Here is a 12536-nt window from a genome sequence, read left to right on the forward strand (position 1 = left end):
GGGCCTCTACCCTTCCCCTCCAGCTTACCAGTCAAAAATAACTTGCAGTTTCCGGAAGAACGTGCATCTTGCAAGAAGCCCTGGAATCTGCTGCCCGGCACAGAATGTCGGTCAGGGTTGAACCCCTCTCTCTCCGGCTTTGCTTGGCTTTCCTTTCACCACCTGTTACCTCATTTCATTCAGAATTCCTGTTGGTTTCTGCGCTGGAATCCCTGATTTTCCTCAAGTGTGGAAAACACAGCACTGATGAGATACCAGTTGCTTTTCAGCGGTAAACTGACAGACTTGTAAGAAATCATGACTGTTGTGTATTTATTTTTATAGTTCTCTTATGTTTTGGTGAGAAATACTGGGCTTCTAGTTAGTATAGCAATAAACTATTTCCCTTATATTTAGCTCTACTTATTTACTTTTTTTTTTTTAATACAGATAACTCTTGTTTGTTTATTTTAGAGACAGAGTCTTGCTCTGTCGCCCAGGCTGGAGTGCAATGGTATGATCTCGGCTCACTGCAGCCTTGAACTAACTCCTAAGCTCAAGCGATTCTCCTACCTCAGCCTCCTGAGTAGCTGGGACTACAGGTGTGCACCACTGCACCTGGCTAATTAAAAAAAAATGGGCATTTGATGTCGGTGCCTGCTTGGGTCTCTTCCAAGCATACTTTCCTTTCCTTTCTTTCCTGTTCTAAAGCCTTTTAAATAAACTTACACTCCTGCTCTGAATTTTTTCTTTTTTTTTTGAGAAATGAGGTCTTGCTATGTTGCCCAGGTTGCTCTCAAATTTCTGACCTCAAGAGATCCTCCAGCCTGGGCTTCCCAAACTGTTGGGATTGCAGGCATGAGCCACTGTACCTGGCCTACATTTAACTTTAAACAGTTGAGTTGAAGAAAAAAATAACTGAGTCATATTTCAGGTGACATGTAGGTACGTCCAAAATCATCAAGGGGATGTAAATGACTCAGAGTGGGAAATTCTCAGTTGGTGCCCCAGGACCGAGGACTCTGTCCCTGGGGTGGGGGTTGCTAGCAGCCGCAGGTCTTTGGGGAAGCCCGTGTAGGGTCTAAGACCACCGAGCTGGCGACCGAGTCCTGGCCCCTCCGCTCCTGGTGCTGCGCGGCCTTCCCTGCTCCCGGGCCAGGCTTCCCCATTTCTGCAAGGCGGAGGGTCCGCCCGCCCTTCCTGCGGAGACACTCGCTTTTTTTTTTTTAATTTTAATTTTAATTTTTATTTGACTTTAAGTTCTGGGATACATGTACAGAACGTGCAGGCTCGTTACATAGGTATACATGTGCCATGGTGGTTTGCTGCACCTATCAACCCGTCATCTAGGTTTTAAACCCCGCATGCATTAGGTACTTGTCCTAATGCTCCCCCTCCGCTTGCCCCCCACCCACCGATAGGACCCGGTGTGTGATGTTCCTCTCCCTGTGTCCAGGTGTGTTCCCATTGTTCAACTCCCACCCCTGGACACTCGCTTTTTCACCCTCCTGCCAGCTTTTCTGCTTAGACCTGGACACAGAGTGCAGCGGGAAACTTTCAGCTCTCACACATACCTATCAAGCATTTATTGAGCTCCTGTGAACACAGACACTCCTGCTCTCTCCAGGAAGCGCTCCCGGCTCAGGGCGCCTTGGGTCCGTGGCGCCACCTGCTGTTCTCGCGGCGCCAGCGCAGTCTGCGAGGCCGTCCCAGCTCTTTCCACCCGAGCGCGAGGTAGACGCCGGGGCCACCCGCAGCACGCAGAGCTTCTGGGAGCCGGTGGCAAGGCCGAATTGGGATGCAAACCAAATGGACGTGGGTGACTGGCAGAAAACGCCTCCCACAAATGGGAGGGATTTCGGAGGGAACCGAAAGAAAGTTGGTAAGCACCCACAGCCCCGAGCTTGGCTTTTGTTTTTTCTCTCTGACAAAAAAGCTTGGAAGGGCACTTCCAGGCAACCAGGGGCGACTGGGTCAGCTGCTACCCGCGCTGCTTCCTCGAATGTGGAGAGAGCAGCTGGGGAGGTGGGGGAGTGCATCAGAAGCTCAGTAAAATGCAACGGGGACTTTGCACCCTCTTTTTGCTGCTTCAAGTGGACAGAAGGTGATCAGATGTCAGAGCGGGGAGGGCGACTTCCTCCATCCCTACCCCCGCCCTCAGGTCACATGAGGGAAATTACTCCCCAAAGCTCTCTTTCTTAACACTGTCTGGTGATGACTCCAGAACTTCTCAGCATCTAGAACGACAACCTTAGCACGTCAGTCTGCCTGGGCCTGCCACCTCCGGAGGCCCAGAAGTGACACCGAAGGACACAGGGCATCTCCATCTAGCTGTTCTCAGCTTTGATGTGCCCGAATTAAAGGGGTAGGGTGGGCTGGGAGCGGTGGCTCACGCCTGTAATCCCCGCACTTTGGGAGGCCTTGGGCGGGGGGGGGGGGGGGCGCGGATCACGAGGTCAGGAGTTCGAGACCAGCCTGGCCAACATAGTGAAACCCCGTCTCTACTAAAAATACAAAAATTAGCAGGGCATGGTGGCGCGTGCCTGTAGTCCCAGCTACCCGGGAGACTGAGGAAAGAGAATCGCTTGAACCCGGGAGGCGGAGGTTGTGGTGAGCAGAGATCCGCCACTGCACTCCAGCCTGGGTGATAGAACGAGACTCGACCTCAAAAAAAAAAAAAAAAAAAAGAGGGGCAGGGTGTTAAAATACAGTAGCAGTAGCTTAGGTTCCATCCACCTCTATTAGATTCTGGCTCAGTGGGTTTGGGGTGGGACTCTTGGCATGGATATTTTTAACAGGAACCCCAGGTGTTCCTGGTGCTCCATAGGTTGAGAACTCCTGCCCTGGCTTCCAAGGCACGCGCTTTGTCCAACATTCTTCCAAGTGCAGTGCAAAATAAAGAGTCACTGTGAACTCGCAGCGCTCTTGGGCTAGATTATGTGCTCCTTGCTTTACAAGAATTCTCATTTAATGCTCCCGGGAATGCTTTGATGGACATCATTTTCATGTGCATTTTGAAGAACGGGGAAGCCTGGGTAACATGGCGAAACCTTGTCTCTACCAAAAGTACAAAAACTAGCCAGACATGGCGCATGCCTGTAGTCCCAGTTACTCGGGAGGCTGAGATGGGAAGATTGCTGGAGCCGGGGAGGTCAAGGCTGCAGTGACCCGAGATTGAGCCACTGCACTATTCAGCCTGGGCGACAGAGCAAGACCCTGTCTTGAAAAAAAAAAAAAAAAAAAAGAATGGGGAGACAAAGACTTAGAGAACTTACTTGACTTTTCCAATGCCAGTAAATGGCAGGGACAGGATTTGAATTCAGTTCAGTATGATTTCAAGGTACATGTTCCCCTTTTTTTCTCTTTCCCAGTATAACAAGTCTCCTTACTCAACTGAAATAGACATCAATGATGTATTTGGGCATAATGATTTTTTTTTTCTTCTTTTTTTTCTAATTTGACTTTAAGTTCTGGGATACATGTGCAGAACGTGAAGGTTTGTTACACAGGTATACATGTGCCATGGTGGTTTGCTGCACCTATCAACCTGTCATCTAGGTTTTAAGCCCCACATGCATTAAGTATTTGTCCTAATACTCTCCCTCCCCTTACCCCCCATCCTCTGACACGCCCCGGTGTGTGATGTTCCCCTCCCTGTGTCCATGTGTTCTCATTGTTCAACTCTCACTTATGAGTGAGAACATGCAGTGTTTGGTTTTCTGTTCCTGTGTTAGTTTGCTGAGAATGATGGTTTCCAACTTTATCCATGTCCCTACAAAGGACATGATCACACTCTTTTTTATGGCTGCATAGTATTACATGCTGTATATATGCCACGTTTTCTTTATCCAGTCTATCATTGATGGGTATTTGGGTTGGTTCCAAGTTTTTGCTATTGTAAATAGTGCTGCAATAAACGTACGTGTGCATGTGTCTTTATGACAGAATGATTTATAATCCTTTGGGTGTATACCCGGTAATGGGATTGCTGGGTCAAATGGTATTTCTGGTTCTAGATCTTTGAGGAATCGCCACACTGTCTTCCACAATGGTTGAGCTAATTTACACCGTCACCAACAGTGTAAAAGCATTCCTATTTCTCCACATCCTCTCCAGCATCTGTTGTTTCCTGACTTTTTAATGATCACCGTTCTAACTGGCGTGAGATGGTATCTCATTGTGGTTTTGATTTGCATTTCTCTAATGACCAGTGATGATGAGCTTTTTTTCATATGTTTGTTGGCCACATAAATGTCTTCTTTTGAGAAGTGTCTGTTCATATCCTTCATCCAATTTTTAATGGGGTTGTTTGTTTTTTTCTCGTAAATTTGTTTCAGTTCCTTGTAGATTATGGATATTAGACCTTTGTCAGATGGATAGATTGCAAAAATTTTCTCCCATGCTGTAGGTTACCTGTTCATTCTGATGATAGTTTCTTTTGCTGTGCAGAAGCTCTTTAGTTTAATTAGCTCCCATTTGTCAATTTTGGCTTTTGTTGCCATTGCTTTTGGTGTTTTAGTCATGAAGTCTTTGCCCATGCCTATGTCCTGAATGGTATTGCCTAGGTTTTCTTCTAGGGTTTTTATGGTTTTAGGTTTTACATGTAAGTCTTTAATCCATCTTGAGTTAATTTTTGTATAAGGTGTAAGGAAGGGGTCCAGTTTCAGTTTTCTGCATATGGCTAGCCAGCTTTCCCAGCACCATTTATTAAATAGGGAATCCTTTCCCCATTGCTTGTTTTTGTTAGGTTTGTTGAAGATTAGATGGCTGTAGATGTGTGGTGTTATTTCTGAGGCCTCTGTTCTGTTCCATTGGTCTATATATCTGTTTTGGTATCAGTAGCCTTGTAGTATAGTTTGAAGTCAGGTAGCATGAGGGCATAATGATTTTTAAATTGATTTCTTAAATAGGCAACACAGGGCTGGGCGTGGTGGCTCACGCCTGTAATCCTAGTACTTTGGGAGGCTGAGGTGGGTGGATCACAAGGTCAGGAGATCGAGACCATCCTGGCCAACATGGTGAAACCCTGTCTCGACTAAAAGTACAAAAAAAATTAGCTTGGTGTGGTGGCCAGGTGCCTATAATCCCAGCTACTCAGGAGGCTGAGGCACAAGAATCGCTTGAACCTGGGAGGTGGAGGTTGCAGTGAGCTGAAATTGTGCCACTGCACTCCGGCCTGGTGACAGAGTAAGACTCCATCTCAAAAAAAAAAAAAATTACATAAGTATTAAAATACATTCATAACAATGTGAATATACTTAACGTTACCAAACTGTACAGTTGAAAGTGGTAAAGATTATATATTTTATGTTGTGTTTTTTTATACCACAATTTTTAAAAAGGCATTCAGTGGAAGGGCGCCCACAGATGGGAGGGATTTTGGAGGGAACCGAAAGACAGTTGGTAAGCACCCACAGCCCCAAGCCTGACCTTTTTTTTCTCTCTAACATGAAAGCTTGCAAGGACACTCACCATGTGCCCTGCTTATTCAATTAATCACTTAATTGATCATGCTGTCATCTTTTTCTGCATTATAACTCCCTGAAGTAGGTGCCATTATTATTCCCTATTTTGAGATGAAGAAAATAATGCACAGAGAGGCTGAGCAACTCATCAGGGTCACACAGCTCCTGAATGGCAGATTGTGAGTCCGGGAGGTTTGGCTCCAGGCGTTGCCCTCCTTTCTACTCTCTGCTGCCTCTGTGGCCTTTTCTCTTTGTCTTGGGAAGTCAGGGAGGGAAAGCTGGGCCACGTTTACTTTAATTCAGCATAAAACAATAACAAGGCAACCAGGGGCAACTGGGTCTGCTCCTACCTGCACTGCTCTCTCTGTCTCTGTCCCCCGTCTTCCTAGTGGACTCCCTTAGGGATAACCACTACTGTTTGTTTTTTGTGGAACTTTCCACCTTTTTTTTTGTATGTGCGTTGGGGTTTCAATCTGTTGCCCAAGGTGGCGTGCAGTGGAACGATCAAGGGTCACTTCAGCCTCAAACTCCTGGGCTCAAGTGATTCTCCTGCCTCAGACTCCTTAGTTGCTGGGACTATCTTTCTACATTTTATTTTATTTATTTTTATTTTTATTTTTGAGATGGAGTCTCAATCTGTCACCCAGGCTGGAGTGAAGTAGTGTGATCTCTGCTCACTGCAACCTCCACCTCCTGGGTTCACACAATTCTCCTGCCTCAGCCTCCTAGTAGCTGGGATTACAGGTGCATGCCACCATGCCCAGCTAATTTTTATATTTTTAGTAGAGATGGGGTTTCGCCATGTTGGCCAAGCTGGTCTCGAACTCCTGACCTCAGGTGATGATCTGCCTGCCTCAGCTTCCCAAAGTGCTGGGATTACAGGTGTGAACCACCATGCCCAGCCGTAGCTTGTTATTTTCATAGGACGAAATCTATCTATATAAGAACATTGAGAGCCCCCACATTCTATTGCTTTTATCTGCTCAAGCAGCTTATTTTACAATTTCTTTCACTAGTTCCCTAATGATGGGCATTTATTTTATTAATTTTTAGAGATGAGGTCTCCCGATGTTGCCCAGGCTGGAGTGCAGTGGCTATTCACAGGTGCAATCATAGTGCACTATAGCCTTGAACTCCTGGGCTCAAGGGATCCTGCTACCCCAGCGTCCAGAGTAGCTGAGACTGTACCTGGTTTCCTGAAGGGCAGTTTGTTTCCAGTCTCTTGAAGACACATTGTTAACTATGACCCAGATGAGCAGGCTCAAATTACCCAGGGTTTAAACTGCAACTACAGAGTAAAGAGTGTCTAGACTCACCCTTGAAAACAGCCAGGCCCCACATTTGAGACCAGCCACCTTATCTCAGTAAATGCGAGGCTGTTTCTCCTCCGGCCTTGGAATGGATCACTGTTGAGGCACCATGTGAAGTCGCAGGTGTGCATTTAGAGGCCTGATGGTACAAATCATGTCTTTACACACTGCAGTCATTCGCGTTGTGGTCAGCTCCTGCTGCAAGAGTCTTTTGGAACAAAGGGCCTAGTGGATTCACAGCCTCCATCTCATGTCCTCTGTGGTCTCGTTGCATCCATAATGAGTGGACTCACTCAAGGTGTTAAACTTGTTTGGGGAGTGTAGGAGCAGATGAACATACAGATGAGCTTTGACAGTTCCTGTGGGGTGCTGGTGGCTGCCTTATGCTGAGCTGCGTGGTGGTGATTGCTCCCCATGGGTGCTCCGATGGGCCTTCTGCGATCACTTTCCCCACTCTCCCTCATCAGACTGTGAGCTCCCTAAAGCCCAAAGTGGAGATCATGGGTCCCTGCAGTTCTCACAGCCTTGGACATAAGCCCTCGGTGCAGACAATGACTGAGCACTCACCATGTGTCCTGCTTATTTAATTTATCACTTAATTGATCATGCTGTCATCTTTTTCTGCATAATAACTCCCCGAAGTAGGTGCCATTATTATTCCCTATTTTGAGATGAAGAAAATAAGGCACAGAGAGGCTGAGCAACTCGTCAGGGTCACACAGCTCCTGACTGGACAGACTGTGAGTCCGATAGATTTGGCTCCAGGCGCTGCCCTCCTTTCCACTCTCTGCTGCCTCCGTGATCTTTTCTCTTTGTCTTGAGAAGTCAGGGAGGGAAAGCTGGGCCACGTTTACTTTAATTCAACATAAAACAATAACATTTGATTTAGCAGAGTGTATTGTGTTTGAGTTCCGGCTCTGCTAATAATTAGCTGTTACAACCTTGGGACAGTTACTTAATGTTTTCATTTATCATCCATAAAACGGCAACAATGACACTGATTTCACAGGGCTGTTGTGCGGCTGGGTGAACCGGCATGCATAAGGAACTCGGCTCACTGCAGCCTTGACTTCCAAGAGGTCGCCAATTCCATTTGCCACAAATGGGCCAGGTCCTCAGAGTATGGGGCCCGGAACCGCAGCACAGACCTCACTCAAGAGCTTGTTAGAAATGCACAGTGCTGGCTGGGCGCGGTGGCTCACACCTGTAATGGGAGGCCGAGGCGGGCGGATCTCCTGAGCTCAGAAGTTCGGAATGACCCTGGGCAACATGGTGAAACCCCGTCTCTACTGACATACAAAAAATTAGCTGGGCGTGGTGATACGCGCCTGCAGTCCCACCTACTTGGGAGGCTGAGGCACGAGAATCGCTTGAGCCCCCGGAGGTGGAGGTTGCGGTAAGCTGAGATTGCACCACTGCACTCCAGCTTGGGCTACAGAGTGAAGAATTCGTCTCAAAGAACAAAAACAAAAACAAACAAACAAAAAAGAAATGCACAGTGCCAGGCCCCATCCCACAGCCCCAAGCCTGACCTTTTTTTTCTCTCTAACATAAAAGCTTGCAAGGACACTCGCCATGTGCCCTGCTTATTCAATTAATCACTTAACTGATCATGCTGTCATCTTTTTCTGCATAATAACTCCCTGAAGTAGGTGCCATTATTATTCCCTATTTTGAGATGAAGGAAATAAGGCACAGAGAGGCTGAGAATCGGAATCTGCATTTTCATAAGGTGCCCAGGTGAGGCGTAAGCGTGCTACAGCCCTAGAAGCCCTTCTCTACAGCAGTGGATTCAATCACCTTCCACTAGGACCCCCCGCCCAGTTATACCCGTGGTGTGGGGTTGGGGCTGGGCAGCCCAATTTTACCAGCTGCTTCAGCCTATTCTGAGGTGTGGGGATCCAGCTACAAGAAAGAGCAGAGATAAAAGACGGAAGCAGTTTCATCATTTTTGATGTGACAAGGAAGTCACGTTTTTGTCTGGAGTTCTCGGACTCTGTCATCTTTTTCTGGGTTCTCCTTCCGTCCTGACTCAACTTGGCATTTTGAGAAATGAAGCTTTAGCGACTCAGGAAGGGTGGCCAGAGACAACAGTGCCACCTTGTGGCAGCAGCCTGGCATTACAGTCCTGGAAGGCGGCTGTTTAAATGGAAAGAACTGTGATAACAGGGTAGTCATAGAGAAATCTCAGCGAGCCTTTATTATATGCCAGACGCCATGCCAAGTCTTCTTCATGGATTTGTTTATTTAAAACTCACAAGAGTAAGAAGTAGATACTATTATTATCCCAGTGTTACAGGCCTGGAGGAATGGAGCTTGAGAGAGAGGGAGCTATGCTCATGATCTCTGGGTAGTGAGGGCTGGAGCTGGGGCCAGCTTGGGCAGTCGGGCTTTAAAGTCCACGATTCCAACCCTTTTTTTCTTTTTTTTTGAGAAGGGGTCTCACTCTGTCACCCAGGCTGGAGTGCAGTGGTGCAATCTCGGCTCACTGCAACCTCTGCTTCCCAAGTTCAAGCGATTCTCTTGCCTCAGCCTACCGAGTAACTGGGATTACAGGCACTTGCCACCATTCCCCGCTAATTTTTGTATTTTTAGTAGAGATGGGGGATTCACCATGTTGGCCAGGCAAGTCTCGAACTCCTGACCTCAAGTGATCAACCTGCCTTGGCCTCCCAAAGTGTTGAGATTACAGGTGTGAGCCACCGCGCCTGGCCTGATTCTAACCTTTGGATATATTTCCTTTTTAAAAAAAGAAGGATCCCTTTCTGGTGGGGACCTCCAGATTTTAGACTCTTTAGACCTGTGCTATTTTATTGACTGGAGCCAAGCAGTGAAGCCCTGGGTGGGGAGCTGGGGACCTGGGCTCTGGTGTTAGCTCCCCTCTCTCCTACCCAGGGAGTCCCGGGCAGTCATTCAGGTTCTTTTTCTTAGTTTGTAGGTGGAGGATAATAATATTTCACCTGGGCCGGGCGCGGTGGCTCACGCCTGTAATCCCAGCACTTTGGGAGGCCGAGGCGGGCGGATCACGAGGTCAGGAGATCGAGACCATCCCGGCTAAAACGGTGAAACCCCGTCTCTACTAAAAATACAAAAAATTAGCCGGGCGTAGTGGCGGGCGCCTGTAGTCCCAGCTACTTGGGAGGCTGAGGCAGGAGAATGGCGTGAACCCGGGAGGCGGAGCTTGCAGTGAGCCGAGATCCCGCCACTGCACTCCAGCCTGGGCGACAGAGCGAGACTCCGTCTCAAAAAAAAAAAAAAATAAATAAATAAATAATATTTCACCTGTTCACCTTATAGCATCTTTGCAAGAATCTATGGAAAACAGACAATTGGAATTGAAATTGTATAGCAGTGGGAAAGGCAAGGTAGTGTCTGATATTCTTAGCAAATAGAAGGGTAAAAAGATGCGATTTTCCCTGATACCTCAAACCAACTGCACTTGAATTAACATAGAAACAGAAAACCAAATACCCCATGTTCTTACTTATAAGTGGGAGCAAAATATTGGGTATTGGGACACAAAGATGGAAACAATAGACACTGGGGACTCCTAGAGGGTAGAGGAAGAGAGCTGCAGGGGTTGGAAAACTACTTATTGGGTCCTATGCTTGTGACAGAATCAATCGTACCTTAAACTTCGGCATCATGCAATATACCCATGTAACAAACCTGCATGTATATCCTCTGCATCTAAAACAAAAGTTGAAATTAAAAAAGAAAAGAAGAGACGTGGCTGGGCAAGGTGGGTCACACCCATAATCCCAGTACTTTGGGTGGGCACCTGTAATCTCAGCTACTCAGGAGGCTGAGGCAGGAGAATCGCTGGAACCTGGGAGGTGGAGGTTGTAGTGATCTGAGATCACGCCACTGCATTCCAGCCTGAGGAACAAGAGTGAAACTCCATCTCAAAAAAAAAAAAAAAAAAGAAGAGACGTGGTTGTGCTAGGTTAATAATAAACCCTAAACTCTCAGCAGTTCAAAAGAACAGAGTGTCTTTCTCACCCCATGCTGTGTGTCCACTGCAGGTCCACCAGGGGCTCTGCTTGTCTTAGTCACTCAGGGGCCTTGTGTGACAGAGACTCCATCTCAACAAGTGCTTCTGTGACCCAGCAGGCAGTAAAAAGAGGATGGAGACCACAGACTGACCTGTCTGCTTCTGCCTAAAAGTGACACATGTCATTTTCACTCATACTTCATGGGCCAAAGCAGATCACATGGCCGTGCACGAGCTCAAGTGGGTGGAGAGGTGCAGCCCCACCATGTGCCCAGAAAGAGAGCTGAGCATTTGAGACCTTTCTTTCTTCTTTTCTGCTTTCCCTCTTCCCTTCTTCCTGCTTTCCTTCCCTTCTTATTTACTAAGTGCCTACTATTTAGATGATGTATCCTCACTGGGATTATCATTTGTTATTTAAAAAATTTAAATAATAAATTTAATTTGTTTTGTTATTTATTATTTACTTTTTTTTTTTTTCTGAGATGGGGTCTTGCTCTGTCACCCAAGCCAGAGTGCAGTGGCACGATCTCAGCTCACTGCAACCTCCGCCTCCCAGGTCCAAGCGATTCTCCAGCCTCAGCCTCCTGAGTAGCTGGGGTTACAGGCATGCGCCACCGTGCCAAGCTAATTTTTGTATTTTCAGTAGAGATGGGGTTTTGCCATGCTGGCCAAGCTGGTCTCAAACTCCTGAGCTCAGGTGATCCACCCACCTTGGCCTCCCAAAGTCCTGGGATTACCGATGTGAACCACTGTGCCTGGCCTGTTTTTATTTTCTAAAGATGGGGTCTTGCTCTGTTGCCCAACCTAGAGTGTAGTGGCTATTCACAGATATTATCATAGCTCACTGCATAGCTCACTGCAGAACCTGGGTTTACTGATGCACACCACTGCACCCAGCCTCACTGGGATTATAAAATAAGACAAAACTCCGTCCTCAAGGCTCACATGATCTCATGGCCGAGTCAGAAAAGCCGACCAAGATCAGCACAAGTTGATATGTGAACACAGATATGAGGCAGCTCACCCAGCCTGGTGTGAAGCTAAGGAAGGCTTCCTGGAGGACGTCCCCAAGGAAGGTAGGAACAAGCCTGATGAGAGGCAGGGGAACCTGAATAGCACAGCTCATGCCTGTAATCTTAGCTACCAAGAAGGCAGAGGCGGGAGGATATCTGGAATCCAGGTGTTCAAGACCAGCCCAGGCAACATAGCAAGACTCTTAAAAAAAAAAGACGCAGGGAGATCATTTTCAGCAGAAAGAGCAGAAGATGAAAATGTCTGCAGGAGAGCTCTGTGGCCAGCAGTAAGATGTTCTGCAGGCCTGAGGAATGTTGTGGGGGATGGTGTGAGGATGAGCAGGCACAGCAGGAAGTGGGTCCAGACCACTTAAGGCTTCAGGACCACTGGAGACTGGATTTCCTGAGAAGGCCATGGGGGCCATAGAGAGGCTGGTTAAATTTATTTTATTTTTTCCAATTTAGCCTTGACTTGAAACTCATAAATTTGTTTTCTCTGAGACAGGGTCTCACTATGTTGCCCAGGCTGAACTCAAACTCCTGGGCTTGAGCCATCCTCCTGCCTCAGTCTCCCGGGGTACTACAGGTGTAAGCCACCATGCCCGCCTGCCATAGAAAGGTTTTAAGCAGGACATTAACACTGTGAGGTCCTCTCTCTGTAGGGTGGGTTGGAGGGGAAAGGATTGAGAACAGAGAGACAGCACTTTGAGAGGCTGAGGCAGGTGGATCGCTTGAGGTCAGAAGTTCAAGAACAGCCTGGCCAACATGGTGAGAT

General features: G+C 47.3%; 1 long non-coding RNA gene across 2 annotated transcripts in view, besides 2 other annotated features; it reads left to right on the forward strand.

Annotated features, from left to right (window-relative positions):
• The first annotated feature begins 1694 nt into the window (after positions 1-1694).
• The window catches only part of LOC105371240 (uncharacterized), a 124894-nt gene continuing 114052 nt past the window's right edge, over positions 1695-12536 (forward strand). For both annotated transcript variants that reach the window (NR_188470.1, NR_188477.1), the window contains exon 1: positions 1695-1861. This is a non-coding gene — a long non-coding RNA (uncharacterized LOC105371240). The remainder of the gene's footprint in view (positions 1862-12536) is intronic.
• Positions 7534-8035: an enhancer, noted in NCBI's record as "H3K4me1 hESC enhancer chr16:48663187-48663688 (GRCh37/hg19 assembly coordinates)". NCBI's record gives its function as "activates a minimal SCP1, AML or CMV promoter by ChIP-STARR-seq in naive H9 embryonic stem cells {active_cell/tissue: H9 hESC(naive)}" and the evidence as "EXISTENCE:reporter gene assay evidence [ECO:0000049][PMID:30033119]".
• Positions 8036-8535: an enhancer, noted in NCBI's record as "H3K4me1 hESC enhancer chr16:48663689-48664188 (GRCh37/hg19 assembly coordinates)". NCBI's record gives its function as "activates a minimal SCP1, AML or CMV promoter by ChIP-STARR-seq in naive H9 embryonic stem cells {active_cell/tissue: H9 hESC(naive)}" and the evidence as "EXISTENCE:reporter gene assay evidence [ECO:0000049][PMID:30033119]".

This window comes from Homo sapiens, chromosome 16 (genome assembly GCF_000001405.40).
Source record: "Homo sapiens chromosome 16, GRCh38.p14 Primary Assembly".
Classification (NCBI taxonomy): Eukaryota; Metazoa; Chordata; class Mammalia; order Primates; family Hominidae; genus Homo; species Homo sapiens.